The sequence below is a fragment of the Homo sapiens genome, chromosome 1, assembly GCF_000001405.40.
Source record: "Homo sapiens chromosome 1, GRCh38.p14 Primary Assembly".
Lineage (NCBI taxonomy): Eukaryota > Metazoa > Chordata > Mammalia > Primates > Hominidae > Homo > Homo sapiens.
This window is the reverse complement of record NC_000001.11, coordinates 206,277,616-206,303,953: the sequence shown is the minus strand read 5'-3', so window position 1 is coordinate 206,303,953 and position 26,338 is coordinate 206,277,616. Positions and strand designations below refer to the sequence as shown.

Here is a 26,338-nt window from a genome sequence, read left to right as displayed (position 1 = left end):
AGCTCTACTATTTACTAGGGGTGTGTGAGTGTGAGTGTGTGTGTGTGTGTGTGTGTGTGTGTGTGAGAGAGAGAGAGAGAGAGACAGAGATTAAGATAGACCCTGAGTTAAGCCCCTTAACCTTTTTATGCCTCAGTTTCCTCATCTATAAATTGGGGATAATAACAATAACCATCATATGGAGTTGTTGGGATTAAGCAAACTAACATATATGTAAAGCCCTTAGTAGCATGCCTGGCAACAGAGCTATAAACAAGTTTGCTGTTATTATTAGCATGGTTCATCATCTACTCTCATCTCTACGAAATGTTGAATTGCACATAAGACTGATCTGGAAAACGAGAAGTCCTTGAGGGCTTTCAACCAATCTGAAGCCAGGGGCTCCTGAATTCAGCTGGATCTAAGTGGCATACCCTGCCCCCCTCCACCCTGGACCCCATATTCCAAGGTCTCAGAGAGTAATAGCCACAGAGCCCCTACTTGAATTGCTGGTCCTTGGTGCTGCGTGTCTTGGCCAGGAAGCGTTCTGCCAGCTTCTCCAGGTTGCGGGAGTAGTCCATCTCAATCTCTGCCTTCTTTCGGAAGAAGTCCTGGAGGTCCTGCAACAGTTGCACCCGAAGCTCACACTGCTGGTCCAGGCATTTCATCTGCTCTGTGAGCTGAGCACGGATCTCTACAACAAAAACAAGAGAAGACAGTCAGAAAGACCGCCCTAAATAAGCCACCATGCATGCCAATATTCACCCACCTTCCACTTACTTATTCCCCGTGCCCTGGGAAATTGAAAGCCCTGAACAAAAAAGCCTAAAGTCTAAACTGGCCATAGGATGTGAGGCACCTCCAAAAATGCCAACCCTTTTTACACCATTAAAGAACATTGTGAACCAGGAATCTGCTGAATCACTTATGAGAAGCTGCTTATTAAAAATAATAACATTCCTATCTACCATTTATATTACTATGTTTCTAGTGGCACAGAGCCAGAATCTGGGTTGTCTTCTGGCAGAGGGCCCAAATGAATTATCACCCCAACCATCCTATGAGGCAGGTACTACCTCATCCCCATTTTAAAAATGAGAAAACAGAGTCTTGAAGAAGTCAAACTTTTAAGTGGTGAAGCTGGGATTCAAACCCCAAGAGACTGACTTTAGAGACCATGCTCCTACTTTTTGCATTTTTCCCCATCATTTCAAAATGTTGTTTACCATCTTCATGAAGTAGGATGAAGGTCAGGATATTTTAATGGAGATAGGAAGAAAATCTCCCAAGGTCAAATGGTAGCAATCAAAACAAAACAAGCACAAGAACTTCTGGGCAGGCAAACCATTCACTGTCAATCAGATTTCACAGTTTCCAATATCACAGAATGAAAATCATTTTTTAAGAAGACTTGGAAAGAGATTTTTTTCACTAACAAATATCACTCATATCTGTGTTGCTTAATCTTCATAGATGCTGTAGTGCCTCTATAGTGTCATAGCTAGAAATACTTCTGGTTAAGCTCTAGCATGCAGATTTCTGGCTGGTCAGGGTCCTTGTATGGAGCTAGCAAACACTCTCTCTGGAACTGCTGCAAAGGCAGCTATAGATGCGAACAGATCTGCCTCAAATGCAGCACTGCATTTGTTACTGACAAGAGACCTGGCACTCACAGGAAGCAGTATGCCAAAGCCAGACTGATTTCCAGCTCAGAGAAGGCTTGCAGTGTGTATCCTGCTGAAGTTATGTCCCAATCCCCATCTGAGTCAGAATGGAGCCATTTCTTTCATCTTTTCCCTCTGCAAGCCTGCTCAGCTCCAAATGCATTAGGATGTGACAGTGACTCCAATCCCACAGAAAAGGAGCACCTATATTATGCCTTTCCTTATGTGTGCCCCAAATTCATTCCCAAATAGCACAGTTGCAACAATGCTTTCTGTCTATGCTATGTAATGCTATGTAATGCATCATTATGGGGAGAGGGGGTCTAGAGTTTTCACGTGAGCTGCAGATAAATCAGAGGCAAATCAGGATCAGAACTATGATGCTGAAATGTTCTTGAAGCAATGAGGATGGGTAAATGGTGCGTTTAGCTTTGCCTTAAAGTAGTCGAGGCTCCACAATCTGTCCCCATCTACATTTTTGTTGCTGTTTTTACAAATATCAGTATGTCCTTTGCAGATGATCTCAGGTGATCTGTAAGCGCAATTCTCACCCTCTTCATCCTCATCTCTCTCCCTGTCAACCACCAATGCCAACCAGCCCTGCAGTAACCTCACCTGAACTGAAACTGAGCTCCGGAGGATTGTTTCAAGCAGACAGAAGGCTGTGCAGAAAAGCTGCCTACCTCATCACTCATCAAAGCTCTCTTGTTCTGTGTTTTACGGAGTCTGATTACAAGGGTATTGGGGGTAAAGATCTGCAGAGGTTATGTCAGGCATCTGGTTCTTGCCAGGGATTTCTGGGTCTCTTAAAGGGAACAGCCCTTGTTGAGACTATTCCTGTAGGCATCTGTCCCCCTTCAATATATTAGTGAAAAGCTGATAGTAATAGCCATTGGGTGGGCAGACTGTACATTGAGAGGGCATTCAGAATGCTTACTAATATTACTTAAATTCCATCCGTTCAGTAAGAACCAAGTGCCAGGCGCGGTGGCTCACGCCTGTAATCCCAGCACTTTGGGAGGCCGAGGCGGGCGGATCACAAGGTCAGGAGATCGAGACCATCCTGGCTAACATGGTGAAACCCTGTCTCTACTAAAAATACAAAAAAAAAATTAGCCAGGCATGGTGGCAGGTGCCTGTGGTCCCAACTACTGGGGAGGCTGAGGCGGGAGAATGGCGTGAACCCGGGAGGCGGAGCTTGCACTGAGCAGAGATCGCACCACTGCACTCCAGCCTGGGCGACAGAGCGAGACTCCATCTCAAACAAACAACAACAAAAAAGAACCAAGGCGTTTTTAGGGTGGAAAGGCTTTCCAGGTACTGAATCAGTAACAGATGTACAGGGGATATGGATGGGCAGTAAGGCTGTCAGGTCCCTCTGAGTCCCCTGTAATGCACTCAAGAATTTACCTCAGTAATCTCACTCACCAGGGGAATAGAAAGGAATAGTTAGTTGGATGACACCCACCCTCTGCCAAAAAAAGAGAGGACAAGGCAAAGTCCCATGAAGTTCCAGAAGTAGGCCACTCCAGAGTTAGCCTGTCCAAGGAACAAGTACTTAATAGGAGGCCTCTGAGATATGTGATTTAATATAAGAAACCCCCAAGCACATCCAGCCAGCAAGGAATTCCAGCCTGATTTTGCAGGTGCCTCAATGAGGGCAGCAGAGTATATGCTGCATCACAGGTACTCCCTCTGGAACCCTGAAGGGATGGGAGCATGTGTTTATTGAATACATTTTATAGGCCTTTCTATGTATCATCTCATTTAATTCTCACAGGTAGTCTGTAAGGTATCCACAATTATCCTGATTACACTAAGGAGAAAACTGAAGTAAGACTCTTTAAGTAATTTACCAAAGGGTCAACAATTATGCAACAGGAGCTGGAGCTAAATTAAGGTTTGTCTGACTTGTCAAAGAGGTTAATAGTAGGTCAGAGAAACAAAAACAAGAGAAATAGAACACCAGTTTGGAGTCTCTGAAAATATCTCTGTGTAAATCACAGTGACCATGACTCTTAACTCCTGGAACATCGCCTTTTCCACTTTCCAGCTGAGGGTTGATTCAGGCCCCTAAGACAAGTTTGGACTTGCCCACCGACTCACCAGCTAGCTCTGTTTCAATCTGTCCACAACCACACTGGATCCCTTCCCCACTTCCTAGATCTACTCTACAGGACAGCTTAGGGGGAAGTGCTTTTCTTGTCCTGTGAGTACACCCTGAGGTCTACCAGGAAGCCCAGAGGACAGAGACAGTGAGAAAGCAATATCCCCACCCCTGATCCAGGAAAAAAAAGAGGCTCTGTTAATAGATACCACCTGCTAGTGTGGTTTATTTGTGATATGACACCATGAGCATCTCCCCTCCCTCACAACTGGCCAAAAAGAAGAAGAGGAAGAGGAAGAAGAAGAAGGAGGAAAAGGAAGGAAGAACAGGAGGTGGAGAAGGAGAAGGAAAAGGAGGAGAAAAAGAAAGAAGAAAGAGAATGAAGAAGGAAGAAGGCAAAAGAAGAAAGGAAGCAGAAAGAAGAAGATGCCTCCCTTGTTACCATCTTCAAAGCATCCATACAGGCATTAAGGGAAATTCTAACTACTCTCACTCTTAGGCGTACAGCTCCAAGACAGAACAGTTGTTCTATCCAGGGAAAAATGTGCTGCCTTAGGCGCTGCTGCTGCTGCTGCTCCTACAAAGACAAACAATGGTCCCCAAGAAGGCAGCTATGCTGGCCCCAGTCCCCGTTCATGCACACAAGGGGCAGGAAACAATGGGCCACTGAATACCAGCACTCCTGGGCCATGTGCCCAGGCTGAAGGCCCCTCTGAACCCTGGCCTATCAACAAACAAAAGGGCAGAAAGAAGAAAGAGGCAATTTAAAAACATAGAGGAACTCCTCACAGTTCCCTCATGTGCTTAGGCGATCATGCATGTGCACATCATGTGTACACACTCAAAGACTCACACCACTCATACCACTTACACCATGCTTCACGATACCAACTCAAGAAGGCTTTACACATCTGGTTTACAGTTGGATGAGAATTCTTGGGAGCTATGGAGATGGTGGGGTCCTTGCCAGTTCCTTCCCTAGAAATACATGGAAAGAAGTCAAGCTCTCACTTTCTAGAAGCAGCTATATCTTAGGGGTACAAAAGAATTCCCTGGCTATTCACAAAGCCAAAGTACTAAGGTCGCCATGAGTCACCTGGAGTGATATATACATCCAAACAGCCTCCCCTGAGCGCCCAGTAGAGCCCATTTATTCAGCAAATCTTACTGAGCCTTTCCTGTATGGAGGCACTGTGCTAGGTGATGGTGACAAAGGAGGAAAAGACAGGTCTAAGCCCTGTCTAAAGAGGCATGGCTTGACAAAGAAGAGAAAGGACAAGAGAACACAAAAAGTCTTATTGTTTCTGCTTTAAATATTCTTTATTATAACAAAGCTGTGGTAATAAGCCCCAACCTGAAGATCTAAGATTTAAAAATCATCAATAGCGGAAAGAAATCACATAACAGGGCTAAGAAAAATCCAATGTCCTCTAACATTTTTTCTTATTATGTTTTTTTAAAAATGACACTTGAATAAAAATTGCAGCTTCCCTTGCAAGAGGAACCCAATTTCTTTAAAAGGTTCCTGAGAATCAGAGTTGACCTCTGGTTGATATTTCATGCAGAGATTCAAGACAAATTTAAACCTCCCTGTTTTGAAATTAAGATAGTGATGATTGTTGCTCAACCTTGTGAATATGTTTAAAAAATTGAATTGTACACTTTAAAAGAGTGAATTTTACAGTATGTGAATTGTATCTCACTGAAAAAAACAGATTAAAAAATTTAACCCCACCACATAGCATATTCTGTTGAGCACCATCTGCCAGTGAAGGGGAAAATAACCCAACAAACAGGAGCCAAAAGGAGGAACGGATTCTTGGTTTCCATTTCCCTGTGTGTATGAATTAAACACATTCTGCATTGACTATTCCTAAAGCAAATCTTGGAAGCTGCCCCTCTGGGCCGTAGGCTTGGCCATGACATTGAACTCCACTGGCAGATCACCATTTCCAAACGATGTCAGATAAAGACCTGCCAGGGAGTGTTTTTATATGTGAATTCAAATCCAGCATCACCAGACACACCCATGAAGCTTCCCCTGGGAAATGCTGCCTCCTTGCCCATGCTTGGCCACAGCTGAGACACTAACTATACTCGTCCTAGTATTTAGAAAGAGGCTTATTTCCTTTTTAGAAAGATGCTGAAGGGTCTCAATAAGCATGCAACTGGAAGAAAAACTAGCCCTAATAGGATACTGATCATTTAACAAAAACAGGCAGGGCCCTGCCACGCTGACAATCATGTAGACTCCAAATTACAACACCTGCCAATGCAGATGACACAGTCCTCTGAAAACTGCCCTCACTTCAGAGAACATCCAGGGAATTCACCAATCAGCAGAGTACAGGGGGTGAGGGAGTGGGGGTGTTCAGCCTATTGCTTTCAATCCAGAGATCCCTTTCTTTCCTCCTTTCAAAATTCATCTTCTTCTTCAGGAATTTTCTCTGATTAAGTCATGAATACCACATTTCTAAGGAGAAAATGGGGGAGGAAGGGCAGGCCAGGAGACAGATGTAATCTTTCAGGAGAGTCACACAGGCATGTCCTTCCTTTCTCCTTGATGTGCCAGCACCCAGGGGGCAGGAGCTGCATCTCCCACAGGCTCTGTTGCCAGCACGTGGAGCAGATCAGCCCGCGCTCCCCATTGGGAACCTGGTCTGACTGCCAGTCTTTTTCCACCCAATCTGCCTCACCTGCTTTTAGCCCCTTCACAAACACCTCAGCCATCTCAGGAATATTAATTCCTAGTACCTTTCCAGAGAATGTTACATAAGAATACAATTGAGGCTTTCAGGCGCTACCCTCCATATCTCTTACCAAGACTTCTTATCACAACAGTAATCAGCCCCTCTCAAAACTGTTCCTCAGGAAACAAAATACCAGAATGCCCTGCCAAGTCTTGCTCTCTACTCTGCTAGTTTGCCTTTCTATGAACTTAGTAAAGGGAGGACTCAAAAATCCTTGCTGGACAGATGTGAGAACCAAAGCTCAGAGCAGCAAAGGGGATTGACCAAGATCACACAGCTATTTAGTTGCAGATCCAAGACTGAAATCCAAGTCGCTGAGTTCCCAATGTCCTTTCCTACTTTTACTTACTCTCATTGCAAACATCTATTTGAGTGCCTTCCGGGTGCTCTGGGAATACAGACAAAAAGTTCTTCCTCAAAGTTAGCAGGGTAGTGGAGAAGAAAGAAGAAAAAAACGGTAACAAACAAGGTTAAATAATAATATAAACAAATGAGTATGCGCACAGAGCAGAGAGAGAGACACAGCACCACCCTCAATGTGTTATATGTGCTATAACACATCCTCAGTGACTGACATTACTTACCTATGGGTAGTCAGTTTCCAAGAAAAGGCCATCAAGATACTTTCAGTAAACTAGGAAACAGCAAATATTCTTCCTCAAAGAGTGTGACTGATAGTCTTTTTCTGCATTACTTTACTCTATTAAGTAAGGCACAAAACAGGCCAGGCACAGTGGCTCACCCCTGTAATCCCGGGACTTTGGGAAGCCGAGGTGGGCCGATTACTAGAGCTCAGGAGTTCCAGACGAGCCTGGGCAACATGGCAAAATCCCAGCTCTACAAAATTTTTTTTTAAGTTAGCTGGGGGTGGTGGTGCATGCCTTTAGTCCCAGCTACTTGGGAGGCTGAGGTGGGAGGCTTGCTTGAGCCCAGGAGGTCAAGGCCACAGTGAGCCGTGATTGTGCCACTATACTCCAGCCTGGGTGACAGAGCAACACCCTGTCTCAAAAAACTAAATACATAAGGCACAACCAACCAACAAATAGCTATTATGTTTCTGAAATAATTGTTTTTCATTCCTTATATCCATGTTTTCCCCACTCTCGGTCCACATGCTTTCAGTAAAACTGATCCCACCCCTGCCCTCTCCAAAGATAGTGTGCTTTCTCAAATCCAGGCCTTGGCTGGGAGATGGAAGACCTGGGGACAAAGAGAGTGTGACACTGCCACTACCATCTTGCTACCGTGAGTGGAAAGCCCATTTGAGAATGGAGTTGGCCCAGAGAAGCAGAGCTGAGAGATGGGGAGAAGGAAACATGAGTATCTGAATGAAGTCACGATGAGAAGCCAGCCCTATCCCTGGACCTTTCAGTGACACAAGTCAATTCATTCAATTTTCGCTTAAAACACTTTGCCTAGGCCAGGCATGGTGGCTCACACCTGTAATCCTAGCACTTTGGGAGGCCCAGATGGGAGGACTGCTTGAAGCCGGAAGTCTGAGACCAGCCTGGTCAACATAGCAAGACCTCATCTCAAAAAAATAAAATAAATAAAATAAAAGATATATAAAAAAGAAACAAACAAAAAAACCACTTTGCCTTGGATTTTTGGTCCCTTGCAAAGGGGCTGTAATGGATAAAGTGAGGATTTCTGAAGTATGAAGGTCCCTGTTCTCAAGAAATTACAATCTAATTGTGAAGACATGATCCAAATATACATTTCAAAATTTCACATAACAATTCATATTACATAATTGCACAAGATATATAATTATATAGTACAGAAATTATGTTATTGTATACTATAAGGACATGAAATTAAGAATAAATACTACAATGAAAGTGTTGAAAGCTCAGGAAGATCAGTGGGGAATCCCATTACTATAGTCAGGCTTCTGGAGGTAGTCTAAACTTCTTGAAAAGAAGAAATTTGGTCGAGCACAGTGGCTCACACCTGTAATCCCAGCACTTTGTGAGGCCGAGGCAGGCAGATCACGAGGTCAGGAGTTTGAGACTAGCCTGGCCAACATGGTAAAACCCCATCACTACGAAAGATACAAAAAATTAGCCAGGCATGGTGGCACACACCTGTAATCCTAGCTACTTGGGAGGGTGAGGCAGGAGAATCGCTTGAACCCAGGAGGCAGAGGTTACAGTGAGCTGAGATCACACCATTGCACTCCAGCCTGGGCGACAGGGAGAGACTCCATCTCAAAAAATAAAAATAAAAAAAAAGAATAAATTTGTCTGTTCAGTTGACTAATGTACTTGTGGGACCCAGAACAACACCTAGCATTATAGTAGGCCTCCAAGTTTGTGGAGGGAAGGCAGGAGAGGAGAAAGAGAGAGAGAAAGGGAAGGAAACAGAAATCTGAAGTAGTATTCTGAGGAAGAGTAGGATTTCAGTAAATGAAGGGTGAGGAGAGGATATTCCAGAGTAAGAGAAAACGTACACCAAGAGATAGGAATGTTTGAGCGTGGCCTCTCTGTGGGGTAGGGAGGAAGATGTCCTTACTGGAACAAAAGGTGGCACTGAGGCTTGGTCAAAGATAAAGGTGCAAGAGGAGGAATAGCTCCAAAGGCCAATAGAGTAGTTTGGATCTCAAGCAGCCAGAAATGGAGCTGGTAAATGTTTGTGTCATGATGAATGTAATAAATGGAGTTGAAGCAAGATCACAGTGAAGGAAGTCTGCTGGATGGAGTCCTATGCTGTCTAAATGAAGAAATGGAGTGAACATTAATGAGCAATACAAGCTGAATGGTAGAGAGGTCAAAATGAGTAGGAGAATTCCATGAGTGGAAAATCCCTGCACATAACAACACCAATCATTAGCAATAACACGTACTTTAGAGCCCATGACTCTATAGTATGATTCCAAACCATCCTTCCCTTCACAGTAGTCAGCAAACTGGAGCCATAAGAGACATCCTTGGGTTCAAAGGTAAGACAGTAATCTTGGTGGGAGGAAGGGGGTAGTGGGGGCAGTTGTGACTGGAACTCTGGCCTCCCTGGCTTTCCTTTTGACTGTAGTTTTCTCTGATGGACTTTAAACATGGCCATCTTCAAAACTGTCTGCCCTGTGCGGTAGATTATTCCAAAGCTATGAAAGAAAGAAACACTCCTCCCCTTACATTAACTCCACACTACCTAAAAACAATGCATGCACCTTTGGTAACAAAGAGAAACCAGCTAGTGGGAAAGAGAAGAAGAAAAATGGCCCTACAAGTTTCCAAAAGACGTTCAGTCATCCATTAACTTTCCAGCCCCAAGTGAATGCACAGAAGGCAATCTCATAAAGCCAATGAGAGGGATATTTCAATATCATCGTGACTACTCTGGCAGGCTGCCTTAGTTCTTTCAAGTGACTCAAAAGCAAGTTAAAGACAAAAGGATCCCAAATGAAAAAGCTGCCACATCAAATGCCAAAGTAGTAATTTTAGCTCCTAGGTCTTGCCTGAGATGTTTAAGAAACAGAATTCTCAAGGTCCAAAATTTAGAATTAACTTGTACCACAAACTAAAGATGCAGGATGTGAAGACCAGCAGCTCCTCTGGGAAATGTCACCTAGTCTGATGCTCCTGATTCATTGCTAGTGACAAGCTGCAAGTCAGTTCCCAAGGACCACGATAATCAACCAACAAACCCAGCAAATATTTATCTAACACCAACTCTGTGGGAAGATCTGGGTGATGAATCATTGGAACACACATGAAAATGTAAGATATTTACACAAGAAAATGTAAGACAGTCTCTTACTCTCAAGGAGCTTACAATTGAATTGGAGAAAAGGAGGACTAAATGCAAAAATATTTAAGAGTATAAGACTGGCATCCTAAGTGCCAAAATAATGGTCCCAGACTACATTAAGAGAGGAAGAAATCAGTAAAATCTAGCATGGACCTCTTGAGACCTTGGGTAGGGGGGGATTTAAACAGAAGCGAGGGGGATGACAGATGAAGGGTTGTAGTTAGCAAAGCAAAGTCAAAGAGGCTAAAATGGGCAGATGAAGCTCAGGAGGCTGTGAGAAGCCTTGTGACTTGAAGGTTCACACAGAAGAGTATGAAGAGAAGGGGTAAATAAGCAGGCCAGGGCCAGCAGAGAGGGTCCTGCATGCCTGATGAGCAGAACAGATACAAACACAGTTCTAAAGGGCTCTGTAAACTCTGGACAAAGCAAAATGAGAGTCTTGAAAAGCAGGACAGCCCAAGAAGAGTCAAAGCTCAAGGAGAGTAAAAATCCAAGAAATTTCCTACCAAACAATTCCTGAAAAGACCAAATGTCAGTTCAAACATGTCCACTCTCTTAGAGGACAGAGGCACACTGTATGTGCTCAAGGCTCCAACACAATCGAGTTGAAAACAAACCAGATCAATATTAAAATCCAGACCCTACGTTCCTGTAGAGCTGGCTCTGGAGAGTTTACTTCATTTTGTGCAGGACCCAGCTTAGCATAAGTACTGGCACATTGTTTCAAGTTTAGTTCAACAAGCAGGGACCAAGCACCTATTCGTTACCAGTGAGAAGGACAAACAAAAATGATTAAAGAAGACCAAGAAGTTCAGTTGGCCCGTGAAATGCCTACGAAGCATCCTACTGGAAAAGGCAGTTGTATTCTCCTTCTGTTCTCAGGAGAGGTCAAGTCTAGAAATAGACACTTGGGAGCCATCAGCAAATATTATAGATGGCAGTTAGGAAGTTAACTAGCAAAGTGAATGCAGCTGTCCACAGACAGCATGTAGAATTAAAAAGATGTAGGCTTAGGATATCCCCATTTAGGTGGAAAGCAAAGCAAGGAGAGATAGGAAAGTAGATTAAGAATGAAGAGAGATGTACAAAAGTGTCAATAACTATGGAGTATTTAAATAAGACAGCAAGGCAAAGAGCTCATTAACCTTGGCAATGAGAAGTCTATCATTATTGAGGGCCTGCTCTGCCAGATTCAGTTTATGCATCACCCCAGATGAACACAACTACCTTGCTGCTGGCTGAAACAGTCTGCCCAGTTCCTGTTGCAATGGCTGTTCCTGGGCCTTCATATGTTGTTGATGCACCAGCCTGACAGTGCATTGCCTTCTACCCTTGCTGTGTGACTCTCAATCCCACCCAGGCTTTCTCTCCTGCTACTGAAGCATGAGACTTGGAGTGACCTATTCAATCAGCAGTCATGTCAACAACAAGTACAGAGAAGTGGAGGCTCCAAGAATCAAACTTTGACCTACAGGAGATAGAAATTGACGAATGAAATATTTTCCCTCCTTGCCCCAGTGGACTGTTCAGAGATGCAGTAGCTTCACATAGTTATGTGAAGATGTCCCACAAGACCAAGCAATCATCCTCTCATGAAGCTATAGTCAACTTATAAGCAATCTCTTGTTATGTTCTCCCTCCTTCCCTTTCTCCCCATTCCTGCTTCCCTGGGATGACTCTTGCAAATGAAGTGTACGCTTTTGCCTCTCCCTCTAATTTATATTTTCAAGGACTCTAGACTAAGACACCTACCTTGTGACAGGTACTGTTCTGGATGTTGGGTAGACAGTCCCGTCCTTGACAAAACTTATTCCAATGAAAGAATCTGCCCAGCAGATCCTTCAGAATAGATAACCATTTATTTTTCAACAACTCAATATACATGTGAAGTGACTGGTTGGTTATAAGAACTGATTTAGTTGACCACAGTTTTTTTTTTATGGAAAGGTAAACTGTCCCCACAAAAGTTATAGGCAGACACATCTTATATATTTACTAGTAATCACATATCCCATTTATTAAGTGCTTATTATGTGCCAAGTAGGCTCCTATTGAGTCACTATTCAAGTATAAAGGTATCTCACTTAATCCTCAAAACACCCCAGGGAGATTAGTTCACAGCAAAGCTGAGTGATTAAGAGGATAGACCGCATTCAGAAAAACTTGGATTTTAATTGTAGTTCTGCCACCTGGTACCTGTGTCTCCCTGAACAAGACACTTAATCTCTCTAAGTCGTTTTCATTATCTACAAAATGGAGTTTGTAATAGCAGCCACTCCACTGGATTGTTATGAAGAATAAAAGAGATGGAGAATATAAAGTGCTTGCTACATGCCTGATGCCTAGTAAGCCTCCATTAAAAGGCAACCACAATTCCTCCCATTTCACAACGAGGGACCACTGAGGTTCAGAGAGATCAGTTAACTGCCTAAGCTCACTCAGACAGTAACAGATCACAACAGGATTTGAACCTAGATGTGTTTAATTCTTAAAATCAGTGCTCTTAACCACTCTCCCCCATCCATTTGTTTCTAATGCTGAGATACGGCCTCATGTGGTTGTCTGTCATAGTGGAATCTTTTAGTGCTAGGCTGGCAATGTTGATTGGTTAACAAAAAGAATCCCCGAATTCCTTCACCTTCACCAAATTAAGAATCCTCATTCTCGCTGTCTTAACTCTGAATGTTTAGGTGTATGTGGTTGGGAAAGAGGGGCAACCACCTTTTTACCATTTCTTCTTGAAGGCAATAGCAGGAAAAAGTCCATGCCATCATCTAGAGATGCTATCAACTGGAGAGGCCGCAGAGAAAAGTCTGACCCTGGAACTAGACTGCCTGGGCTCAAAATGCCAGCTCCACCACCTACTAGCTATGTGTGACCTTGGGCAAATTACTTCTCTCTCTATGCAAGAATGTCCCTATTCTGTAAAATTTTGTTAATAACAGTATCTACCTCACAGAGTTTTTATGAGTTAATATTTATAAAGTTATTAGAATAATTCCTGGTACATTATATTGTAAGCACTACATACATTTCTTCTTCTTTTTTTTTTTTTTTTTTTTTTTGAGATGGAGTCTCGCTCTGTTGCCCAGGCTGGAGTGCAATAGAGCAATCTCAGCCCACTGCAACCTCTGCCTCCCAGCCTCAAGCAATTCTCTTGCCTCAGCCTTCCAAGTAGCTGGGATTACAGGCACCTGCCACCACGCCGGGCCAATTTTTTTGTATAGAGACAAAGTTTCACCATGTTGGTCAGGCTGGTCTCGAACTCCTGACCTCTGGTGATCCACCTGCCTTGGCCTCCCAAAGTGCTGGGATTACAGGCATGAGCCACCGTGCCCGACTTATATACATTTCTGATAATACCTAAAATCTATCCCATAGGTTCTTTGATCCTTTAACTTTTCGATAAAGAAGGTACAGAAAGTGATAGGAATTGAACAAAACTAGTGGCTTCAAACTTTGGCAATCCAACACACATGCACACACACATACGCACACAACTGAAAAGTGTCATGAAACAACATTTATCCTTAGTCATGAACTCTGATATTTTCTATAACTTTTTAAATGCTGGTTGTGGCTCACTAATTTGCTTTCATGATTTAGTAAAAGGTCTCAACCTGCAGTTTGAAAAGCTGTGGAATAAACCACATGGCCACCAAAGGCAGAACTAGAACAGTCTTCAAACCACTCAGCTCCTTCTTCATGGGTTATTATTAAATCAGAAAGGGCCTAAGTTTCACTTCTTGCTGTAAAAGAAACTGTACATTCCGTATCCTCCTCCTTTGCCCTCCACAGTTCACGTGAGCACTAGAAATTCAGAGAACACCCAGGAACCAGTGGGCACTTCCTATGTATGCAACTCATGTCACTGTTGCCCAATCTAAGGTGCTGCCATTCAACATCAGGGAGAGTCCTGTGGCCTGTTCTCTTAGTTTCGTCTTCCTTATTTTGAGGCCCAGCAACCGTCATCATTCACTGTACCTTTGGAGCAAAGAAGTTGCTGATCTAAACACCACAAGGCAATGTTGTTATATATTTAGTAAAAAGATTATAAACAGACTAGATGAAACTTATTAGTGGTTAAGTTTAAAAAAACAAAACAAAACACCAAAAAAAAAAAACAGTCCAGCTGGGCGCGGTGGCTCACGCCTATAATCCCAGCGCTTTGGGAGGCCAAGGCAGGCGGACCACGAGGTCAGGAGATCGAGACCATCCTGGCTAACACAGTGAAACCCCGTCTCTACTAAAAAAAAATACAAAAAAAGTAGCTGGGCGTGGTGGCGGGCGCCTGTAGTCCCAGCTACTCAGGAGGCTGAGGCAGGAGAATGGCGTGAACCTGGGAGGCGGAGCTTGCAGTGAGCTGAGATGGCACCACTGCACTCCAGCCTGGGCGACAGAGCGAGACTCCGTCTCAAAAAAAAAAAAAAAAAACCTCCTTATCTCTTAAATATTGAAATATTCAAAGATAAATTATATCTGCTATTGTTTCAAAGTAATGGAGGAGAGTGGGAATGGGTGAGGGATACAGATAAAACAAAATTGGCCCTGAGCTGATGATTATCAAAGTAGCATGATGGGTACATGAGAATCCATAACACTAGTCTCTCTACTGTATATATTTGAAATTTTTTATAATAAAAAGTTTTTAAATATCTAATTAATGGTGTGTAAAAAAAAGGCTTAAGAGACTCACAATAAATGCAGAGGAAGACAATAAATAAAACAGAAAAAAATATCCAGAGAACTAAATCTGTGAATAGAAAAGGCCCATAATATATCATGAAATGAACACAGAAAAATCAACAAAGACTTATAATGTTTAAATTTTTGCCCTTCAAGGATAAAGAAAGAGTTATTTAAGAATCAATGGATTGCTAACAAAATACAGCAGAAACCCAGATTGGTCTCAGACTTCTCCATAGCAATATTCAAGGCCTGAAGATAATGTAGCCATGTCTTAAAAAATTCTGATAGAGAGCAACTGTGATCCAAGAATATTAGGAGAAGCTGAGTCATCACTCAAGTGTAAAAAAGGTTCAGACATCTCTCTTCCTCTGCAACTTGAAAGATCTCAGCCTATGTAGCACCCACGAACTCGTCTTGAGAAACAGAAATCTTGCACCCAGTAGATCAATCAAAACAAAAACCACAGGAACAGGAAAGCCACGATCAAAGAACAAGTGGCTACATATGGCACCAAGACCAAAAAATGGGAGCATGCAAGTTGGAATGTAAATGTTAGAAAATTGCCAAGGCAAAAAAAGAAACAACAAAAAAAAAGATAAGCTATAAAAATTGAGAGATAGGAAGAGTAGTGCAAGGAAGTTTAAAAACACGAATTACCTAATTCTTCCAGACAATCATCTAAAGTGAAGATATAACTAAAAATGTCTTTAAAAATATTAATAGTGACTTTAGCCTCCTAACAGTTTTCATAATCTTTTTTTAACCTTAGAGAAAACTTTTAGGAACTATTATCTTTGGTAGAGAAAAAAGTACAGCAGCTCTTTCACTTTCATTTCAGTTTTCTTTTCTTCTGTTAAATTCAAGTAAAAAGAAATGCAGTTATTTTTATTTTTATAGTACATATGGTACAATGCCATTCTTATAAAATTATTTCACCCTCACCAGCCACCCTTCTGTTTATGTGTACCAAATGTTAACACTGGAAGAGAAAGTCCATATGCACCATTACCAAATCCAGAGCCTTCCCCTCCTACCTGCCTGCCCTGTCTCAGCCTCTAACCTAGGTTTATCTTTCTACCTGCAAACCAGAACCCACCCCTTCTTGCTTACTCAAGCCCTTTCCTCCTAAAATTATACACTCTTATTTTCCGTATCATCATTTTCCATTTCTACTGGCTCATTACCAGCAGCAGTCAAACACACTGTATTTTCTCCCATCTTATTAAACAAACAAACGCATATTTTCCTTGATCTCTTCCCTTCTCCCAACCCACCTACCTTTTCATCGTGGCTTCTCTTTACATTAAGACTCAAAATGGTGTCCGTACTCCCTGCCTCCACCTTCTTTCTTCCCTTTTTCTCTTAAGGCCACTGTAACCAGGCTCTTGCTTCTACCACTCTTGTGGTGGGTGGTAATGACCTGCACATGGCTAAATATTGCCAACTCTTGAGACTCCACCACCACCATCACTGGCCTGAGAACACCACACTCTCTTGATATGCTACAGACACACATTCTGTCTCCTTTGTTGGGCCCTCTCCTTTTCCAACATCTAAATGCTGAAATGCCCCATGCATGATTCAGTCATAGGATCTGTTTTCTATCTCTCCTTGCTTCCTATCAGATCCCATTCCATTCTATGTCTGGTGATTCCCAAATCTGTATCTACAGTCTAGATCTCTCAGTCAACTCCAGCCTCCAACTGACTTACCATTTCCTCATAGCCATCTAACAGGTACCTAGAACTTAACATGCCCGAACCTGAACTCTTGACACCCCATCCTGACCCCACCCCAGCATGTTCCCTACCCCAGTAACGGTACCACCATTCACCTGCCAGGCCACAAATCTTCAGAGTTATTATTGACTCTTCTCTTACAAATTCCCAATCCAATTCATGAGCAAATCCTATCAGCTCCACCTTCAAAATGAGTCTAGAATTCAACCCTTCCTATCCCTTCCACCTTTTGAACAGTGCAACTCAGCCTCATTTTGTTCTGAATTGCTGTGGTAGCTCCTAACTGGTCTTGCTGCCTCCTCCCTTGCTTCCCTGTAGTCTACTCTCCACACTGCAGCCCTGCTCATCATCTTTCAATGGCTTCCCAGTGGAGAAAAGCTAACGGCTTTCCAAAACCTTACATGGCCCAGTTCACCCTTACTCACTGGCCCCCAGCTACACTGGCCTCTCTGGTCATAGAACATGGCAAGCAAACACCCACCTCAGGGCCTTTGCATATGCTTCCCTTCGCTGGAAGCATACTTCCCCACAGTCACGTGGTTAGCTCTCTCACTTCATTGAGCTCTCTGCTCACAGCAGCCTTTGTGACCACTCCATCTGAAAGTGCCCCGACACTCTCTATTATGCTCTTACCTCATTTTAATTTTTCTTCATGCCACTTGTAAATCTATTTAGGTGTTTATCATTTTCTCCTCCCACTAGAGTGTAAGTTCCATGATGGTAGGGACTTCACTTTGTTCCCTGCTGATCCCCGATGCCACAGTGCCTCACATAGAGTAAGCACTCAATAAAGGCACATTGAATGAATGAATCAAGAGCTGTTTTTTGGGTGATGGGATTTGGAACAATTTATTGCTGGCTTCTTTTTACTTTTCAGTTTTGCTTGAATTTTTTATAACGAGTATTTACTTTTTAAAAAAAATAAGCAAGAGTTATTCCTTTAGAAATTAAAAAAGGAAACCCATCAAAAATCAAAGGAGAGATGCATTATCTAGTCACCTCTGCTATATTTTGACAAGTGTTTTTCCTTCATTATTTATGATAGCTACAAAAGGATTCACAATGTAATGCCCACGGGGAATTTTTCATAATTAATGAAACCTCTTTAGAATGAAACCTTTACTGGAACAAAAGTTTTAATTGCCCAGGGCTGACCATGGAGTATGAAGACAAAGCTCCTGAGTAAGAATAAAAATTTGCAAGGTTTTCCTAAATTTTACTCCCCACTATAATATTTTTTTCAATATTGCTACCATAATCCAGATGCCAGAATCCAGGATCTGTTGGCATCCTGAAACTCAAAAAGTGTGATGGGCCAGGTGTGGTGGCTCACACCTGTAATCCCAGTACTTTGGGAGGCTGAGGCAGGCAGATCACTTGAGGCCAGGAGTTCAAGACCAGCCTGGCCAACATGGCAGAACCCCATCTCTACTAACAATACAAAAAGTAGCCAGGCATGGTGGTGCACCTGTAAGCCCAGCTACTCAGGAAGCCAAGCCATGAGAACCGCTTGAGCCCACAAGGCAAAGATTGCACTGAGCCGAGATCACACCGCTGCACTCCAGCCTGGGTGACAGAGCAACACTCTGTCTCCAAAAAAAAGTGTGATGATCTTTCGTAATGTTTAAATACAAAATAAGAATATCCCTTTCAAATAAGCTGACACTTTTTGAACATGTAATAACCAGGTTCACAGAATCACAGAGGCCAGTGAGAAGAAGATTTAAAAGTACCCGTGTGAGCCCCAGTGACACACGCACCACCAGGAAAGTTTCCTGTCCCTGTCCCTCCAACTAATCCACAGCAACACAATGTCAGCAAGTGGCACAATCTGCCTCCCCTGCCTCCAGGCAGCCATGGGGAAGGTGGAGAGCAAAAGGACCATTCCCTGTGTCACTGATAACTGAGGCTCAATGTGAAATACAAGGCATGAGAGGCGCCCAAAGGTAGGCGACAAGCTCAGTATCTCCCCTGTATCTTTCTGTCTCAGGTATAATCTGCATCTTCTGCTCTTTTCGTGATAAGAAAAGGAACAGCAACAGCATGTCTACTATGCAAATGTGGACTACTAATCTGGCATCATGGAACTTAATGTAGAAGTTTATGCAACCCTGAGCAAGTTTCAAAACCTGGTCTCCTAACACATATGTCTAAGTTTTCTAAGGCTCCTGACCAAGCAATAGACTGTGAACACCCCAGAAGTTCAAGCAGGTCTTCCAGGGTCTTCACACTGCTAACCGCAATCATGGCAACTCCTTCGTTTCCTTTTTTAAAAAATCAACAACCTTATTGTTTTCCCAATTATCCCTTTATAATTGGGCAGTTTAGAACCTCAGATATATCAAGTGAGTATGCACAACGATTAGGGGTGATGAGCTAATAAACATCATTATCTAGGCCATGGTGGTTTTGCAAACACCACTTAGGCCAAGATGGTATGAGCATTCTACAGTTTTTCACTGCTCTTATTCTTTGTCATATATCATAAAATGTACAGTCATAGTGGACTGTGGATTAAAAACAAGAAGTTGGCTGGGCATGGTGGCTCAAGCCTATAATCCCAGCACTTTGGGAGGCCGAAGCGGGAGGACCACTTGAAGTCAGGAGTTCCAGACCAGCCTGGCCAACATGGCGAAACCCCATCTCTACAAAACAATACAAAAATTAGCCAGGTGTGGTGTAGGCACCTGTAATTCCAGCTACTCGGGAGTCTGAGGCATGACAATCACTTGAACCCAGGACGCAAAGGTTGCAGTGAGCAGAGATTGCACCATTGTATCCAGCCTGGGCGACAGAGTGAGACTCCATCTCAAAAAAAACAACAACAACAAACGAACAAACAAAAAAACCAACAACAAGAAGTCTAAGACATTGATAAAACCCAATTGTCAACTAGAAGCATAAAAAACAGTACCAAGCCATCCAATTCACATCTAGATGATTTTCACCAGATCACTAGGTTACATTTACCTGATTAAATCTTTAGTATTTCAAAATCCAATATTAAAGACATAAGATATAGAGATAACCATATCCAAATTGGCTTTGTAACTGTTAGAGGAAAGGCATTCCATAGCTACAAGGTGTTACTCCCTTGTAGATATGCAGTTGAAACTCTCTGTGGTAACCGCTACCATGTAGAAACAAAACTTAAAAATTACATGTAAGAAGCAGTCATTCTAGAGTGTGAAATGCAATTCCAAACATTAGGTCAAGAATGCAGGTTTCTCTTATTTTTAAAAAATGTGTTAGCAAGTAATTAAATTTCCAACTATATTTTTAATGTATATTTGGTCTCAAACTAAGCACTATATTTTATTATAAATTTTAAACAAATCACACGCTTACATAATTCATTTAAATAAATTAGTGTATATCACCTATTAAATGAGAAAACATCTTTATATAAAATGGACGCTATTAAATTTTAAAGTGTATATTAAAATAAGCTGTATAATAATTTAATAATGTTGATGTAAAAGAAAATATTTTACATAAATTTGCTTTATAATAGTCTATAAAAGTAATGACATTATTTTTTAAATTCCTGAGGGGGTTCACAAAATTATATTACTCTGAAAGAAGTTCATTTTTTTTTTTTTTGAGACAGAGTCTCACTTGGAAGCCCAGGCTGGAGTACAGTGGCATGATCTCGGCTCACTGCGGCCTCTGCCTCCTGGGTTCAAGCAATTCTAGTGAGCCTCAGCCTCCCGAGTAGCTGGAATTACAATGGTGTGCCACCATGCCCGGCTAATTTTTGTATTTTTAGTAGAGATGGGGTTACACCATGTTGGCCAGGTTGGTCTTGAACTCCTGGTCTCAAGTGATCTACCTGCCTCAGCCTCCCAAAGTGCTGGGATTATGGGCGTGAGCCACCATGCCCTGCCCAAGTTCATAAATTTTTAAATGTTGGGAAATACCAGTCTAATATAAAAGTCTTTTTAGTCAGACTCCAGTAATTTAAACCAGCTTCTTGGGCCTGCCTTCCAAAGGAATCTAGTCTACCAGAGAAGACAGACTACCATAAGAAGTAATTGCAATGTAAAAAGCCCATTATCGGGGAAAAAGACGATGCTGTAGGAGTATACAGAAATTGGTCTAGGGCTCAGCAAGGGGCTCGCAGAGGAGCTAGACTTAAAGGATTGGAATTACCTATGGGAAGAAGGCAGGAAAAGTACTCCAGCCAACAGCATGTTCAAAGGCCCAGAGGCAACAGAAAAGAAGCTGCATGCAAGGAACCGAAATAATCGAAGAAATTCAGGGTAACTGAAGCATAGAATTTAAATGAGAAGAGGAAAAAAAGATGAGACTGTTGAAAGAAGCAGGGGTCAAGCTCTGGTGAGTATTGCAAATAGTCTGAAGAAGTATGGAATTGTTCCTAAGAGCAATGGGAAGCTATTAATGTGAACACAGAGTGGGAATTAGATAAGCAAAGTACAATGTTTTTAATGACATAAGTGTTCCCCTCCAACAGAGAGCCAAAGTAGAAGGGAAATGTGAGACTTTTCATTTTCAGAGGGCTCGAGTGTTCTAAGAATCTTCTAATAATGACTCCCTCAAGCTGAATCTTCCAAATAAAGCAAGATGCAAATACTCCCCCTCAAAATGCTGACAGCCTGGTGATCCAAAGGCTAGCAAGAAAATGACCACATGCCCTGACCTTGCAAGTAGATCAGTCTCATCGTTTAGATATTACAGACAGCCCCAGAATCACTGTGTGAGTCAGAAGATTTGGGCCTCTGAGTTTCACTTTCCTCATCCTAGAAACTGTGGTAAGAATTTATCCCCTGCCTACCCACCTCACACCATTTAAAGGCCACTTTTCAACCACATGCCTCAATAACATAAGTGGAAAAGATTCTACCAACTGCATTGACTCAATCCACCAGAAAAAGACAACAAGAAGCAAGAAAATGCTTCATAACGTACAGTATGTCTAAAGTTATCAAGCTGCCTGATCATTTCACACCTCTGAAAAAACATCCTACTGTTCAAATCCATAGATGGGCATATTCAGAATTTGCTTGAGGCAGGAACAAAATTCAGAGCCAAGTCAGCTAGCAGTAAGAAACACTGAACTAAATAAAAGAACCAAATGAAAGACATTAAAACTTAGCATTTGATTCAATCTGGTTCCAGGCTTAGGTTGGATGCAGCTGACAAAAGTGAATCAGCCTGGAGCTGGTGAACTCAGGTTCTGGACCCTGAACACACTACATGACTTGCTTTGATAGAACTTCTGTAGAATTTGTCATGATTTTACATGTCTCAAAAAGTTATTAGTAATTTTAAAAATCAATGAGAATGTAAAAGCAAAGTGTTACAGGTTCCAACAAAGAAAAGGTTTTTTTTTGTTTTTTTTTTTGTGACGGAGTCTCACTCTGTCGCCCAGGCTGGAGTGCAGTGGTGCGATCTCTGCTCACCGCAAGCACCGCCTCCCGGGTTCAAGTTTTTTTTGTTTGTTTGTTTGTTTTTTGAGACAGAGTCTTGCTTTGTCACCCAGGCTAGAGTGCAGTGGTGTGATCTCAGCTGGCTGCAACCTCCACCTCCTGGGCTCAAGCGATTCCCATGCCTCAGCCTCTGGAGTAGCTAGGATTATAAGTATTTTAGTAGAGACAGGATTTCGCTATGTTGGCCAGGCTGGTCTCAAACTCCTGACCTCAAGCGATCTGCCCAACTCAGCCTCCCAAAGTGCTGAGATTACAGGCATGAGCCACCGCACCCAGTCTCAAATTCTTATTACTATGTTTGCCAGTATTTTTTAAAGATATGATAAAAAAAAAAATGGTTTTAAATTATTTTACAGGTCTCCAGGTTCCCTGGGCAGGTGTGTATTATGTCAACTTGATTTAAAAAATTTTTTGACATTAGAATACTTTTAGAGGAAAAGACACAAAATAACACAATAGCTTGACTGGATGAACCTGATTCCCTTGGAAATTTCATTTTCCTTTTCAACAAAGTAGTCTTCCCCAAATTTTAGAAAAAAAAACCCATATCCCAGTTCTTTATTATTAAATGGCACATTTCTCAGAATAAAAGGCTGAAAGCATAGTTCCTCTAATTCATAAACTGGAGCATTTTACACTGTATTATGACACTCAGTACAATGTACAATAATTAGCAATTTACATCTGTCTTCCCTGCCAGGTTAGGAGCACCGTTAAGTCCAAGACCATGTCTTATTCATTGTTATATCCCAGCACCTAGCGCAGAGCTGGCATAAATGTTGAACTAAAATAAATGGAAATGAGTTGTGCTTTCCCTGTCTTTAACAATGAATCTTTGGCGGATTCCAACAAAGCCTCAGAGTTAACTATGTGCAGATCCTGGGTCAGCTAAGGCTCACAGTAAAGATTTCTGCCTAATTGCCTCTATCTCCACTCTTCCTTCCCCTTCCCTCTCCACCTCCAGAGGGGAGTTCCCGCTGGAAATTGCACAATTCTTTGTGCAGAGAGAAACAACAAGCTTAGTTCCTGTTGACCTGAAGAGCATAATGTTCTGGCACAGGATCTTCCACCTTCATAGAAGAGTAACAAACTCAATTGGGATTATTTTTCTAACTAAAACAGTCATTTGATGTCTTCTTTTATCTCACCAAGATACAACCTTCTGAGCCACTCATCTTCTATCCTCATCAGTTCCATAATAAGCAAATACAACTTTGGGACAGTCTGAGACAGCGTTTTCTGAATTTTTTCTGACCACAACCCATAATGAGCAATACATGTTATAATGTGATCCAGTATGTGAACACATGCACACTCACCCAAAAAAGTCTGACACAACAATATTTACCCTTTTTGCATCCAATTCACTTTACAATTTTTCATTATTTTTCTATCCTATTCCATTTACATTTTGAAGAAAGCTGGTGAGTAGTCAGCTAAAATGGCTCCACAACCTACTCTGCAAAGGAGTTGCAATCTGCACTTGGAAAAACACTGGTCTATGGACAGGGCTCTGGTCAGTGTTCTCAATAACAGTTTGGAGACTTTAAGCAGTAACACGACAGCTTTCAAAAACAAAACAAGGGCTGGGCGCAATGGTACGTTCCTGTAATCCCAGCTATTCAGGAGGCTGACGGGAGAATTGCTTGAGCCTTGGAGCTGGAGACCAGCTGGGGCAACATAGTGAAACCTTGTCTTAAGAGGAAAAAAAAATACAAAATCAGGTACACAAAATGAAATTCTCATCCAAAATAAACCATTCTATATCCTTCCTTGAAAAACCACACCAACGCTGGACTTTGTAGCACAAAGACTTGTAAGGAGGTCGGGGCTAGACTAGATCCAGATATGCCTAATATTCAACTAGGCCAAAAGAACTGCCCCCTCGCCCGCCAATGAAATGAAATGCCTCCAAAGTGATCCTCTGGCTATGTACATCCTCTAGCATGCAGGTGGGTAATGAAGAGAGTGGAGACAACCAGCCGATTTCTTCCTGGACTTTCTGAGTTTCAAAGTGCTTTCACTTCTATTATTTCATTTAATGAGATGCTGTCAGAAAGTTCATTTCCAGAACTGGAAAGTATTAGGTAGTAGAGAAAAGCATTTCAGGGCCGAGCACGGTGGCTTATGCCTGTAATCCCAGCACTTTTGGGAAGCTGAGGCAGGAGCATCACTTGAGTCCAGGGGTTCGAGACCAGCCTGGGCAAAATAAGGAGACCTTGTCTCTACAAAAAAAAAAAAAAAAAATAGCCAGGTGTGGTGGTGCATGTCTGTGGTCCCAGCTACTTGGGAGGCTGAGGTGGGAGGATTGCCTGAGCCCAGGAGGTCAAGGCTGCAGTAAGCCATGATCACACCACTGCACTCCAGCCTGGTGACAGAGAGACCCTGCCAAAAAAAAGAAAAAAAAGAAAAAAGTGTTTCAAAATGCTGTCTGGGGTAAGAGGGTTAACAGTGGGAAAACATGTTCAGAAATTAACTAAAATAATGTCAAATATGCCAAAAATCGTAAGTATTTGAGATTCTTGAAGCAGACGAAGGGAAAGGTTGGGTTGAGAGTAAGCTATATAAGTATTCCTGTTCTGTATGCCAGAGAATGGGGGGTGGGGGCGCATGGAATCTCATCAATTTACCAAGTCCCAAAAAGAGTAGGTTCCAGGTCTCTAGTAAGGCTTCGATGCCAGGTTTTGTATATTCTCCCTTATAATCAACTTTCCCCTCAATTCTTAGAAAGATCTTATGGAGTTCAGAAGACGATAAAGATGGAAAGTTGTAAGTCCTGAGAGATATAATTGATGTAGATATAGATATTTACAGAATAAAAGCCAACAGCCTAACATGGTATGATGTAATCAGGCATCTCCTCCCTTCCTCCTAAAAACCTCTCACCCTCTCCTCTCTGACCTCATCTCCTAGTACTTCCGCCTCATTCCCACCAGAGCACTCTGCTTCAGCCACAGTGGCCTTCTTGCCATTCCTCAAATACACCAAGCACACTTAGGGCTCCACCTTAAGGCCTTTAAACTGGCTGTTTCCTCTGCCTGAAATGCCCTTCCCCCAATATCCACGCGGCTTACACTCTTACCTCCTTTAAATTTTTGCACAAATGTGACCTATTCCATGAGGCCTCATCTAAAAGCTCCCTACCCCTTATTTTAAAATGCAACCTGGGCCAGGCACAGGTAGCTCACACCTGTAATCCCAGTACTTTAGGAAGCTGAGGTGGGAGGATTGCTTGAAGCCAGGAGTTTGAGACCAGCCTGGGCAACAAAATGAGACCCTGTCTCTAAAAAATAAAAATTAAAAATTAAAAAATTAGCCAGGCATAGTGGTATGTGACTGTGGTCCCAAGTACTTCAGGAGGCTGAGGCAGAAGGATCCCTTGAGCCCAGGAGTTGGAGGCTGCAATGAGCTATCATGGTGCCACTGCACTCCAACCTGGGCAAGAGAGAGAGAGACCTTGTCTCTTTAAAAAAAAAAAAAAAAAAAGTAGAAGAAAGAAGAAAAAATTTTAAAAAGCAACTCCCCTCACAACTACCCAGCATTCTTGATGCTCCTTACTGTACTTATTACCTTCTAAATACTAGCAATTTATATATTCATCATGTTTATTGTTTGTCTCCCTCTTCCCCAACTGAAATGTTAACTCACAGAGATCTTTATTGTATTGACTGAAATAAAGCATCTAGAGTAGTGTCTGATACATGATCATCAAAAAAATACCTGTTGCACAGATGAGTGAATGAATAAATGAATGAATAATTGTAAAACATATAAGTATATCTTCACCTACTTGGTAGTGGCTAAAAGAAAAAAAGCGTCTTCTACTCTATTTTATTCTCTTTTTTTTTTTTTGAGACAGTCTCACTCTGTCACCCAGGCTGGAGTGCAGTGGCATGATCTTGGCTCACTGCAAACCCTGACTCCCTGGTTCAAGCAATTCTCATGCCTCAGCTTCCCAAGTAGCTGGGATTACAAGCGTGCACCACCATGCCGGCTAATTTTTTAAATTTTTTTATTTTTGCATTTTTAGTATTTTTCACCAAGTTGTCCAGGTTGGTCTAGAACTCCTGACCTCAAGTGATCTGTCCACCTCAGCATCCCAAAGTGCTGGGATTACAGGCAAGAGCCACCACTCCCAGCCAGAGGGCCTTCTACTCATAGATAAACAACTGAAATGCAAATGTTCACGGACAGCATTACAATGGTCAAACTA

General features: G+C 42.3%; 1 protein-coding gene across 15 annotated transcripts in view, besides 2 other annotated features; it reads right to left on the bottom strand.

Annotated features, from left to right (window-relative positions):
• Window positions 1-26,338, bottom strand: part of SRGAP2 (SLIT-ROBO Rho GTPase activating protein 2) — a 260,896-nt gene that overhangs the window by 160,483 nt on the left and 74,075 nt on the right. For 11 of the 15 annotated variants that reach the window (XM_011509354.3, NM_001377444.1, NM_015326.5 and 8 more), the window contains exon 3: window positions 481-673. The exons of 1 other annotated variant lie outside the window; for it this stretch is intronic. In XM_011509354.3, the coding sequence (XP_011507656.1) occupies window positions 481-673 (193 nt within the window). Of the gene's footprint in view, window positions 1-480; window positions 674-759; window positions 1,333-4,621; window positions 4,959-26,338 lie in introns of those variants that run through there. 3 more of the 15 variants (XM_024446014.2, XM_024446015.2, XM_047416534.1) reach the window with 3 other exon arrangements.
• Window positions 6,132-6,426: a silencer, noted in NCBI's record as "tiled region #356 duplicate 3; HepG2 Repressive non-DNase unmatched - State 14:Gen5'". NCBI's record gives its function as "represses a minimal TATA promoter and a strong SV40 promoter by Sharpr-MPRA in HepG2 cells {active_cell/tissue: HepG2}" and the evidence as "EXISTENCE:reporter gene assay evidence [ECO:0000049][PMID:27701403]".
• Window positions 6,482-6,776: a silencer, noted in NCBI's record as "tiled region #15698 duplicate 3; HepG2 Repressive DNase unmatched - State 14:Gen5'". NCBI's record gives its function as "represses a minimal TATA promoter and a strong SV40 promoter by Sharpr-MPRA in HepG2 cells {active_cell/tissue: HepG2}" and the evidence as "EXISTENCE:reporter gene assay evidence [ECO:0000049][PMID:27701403]".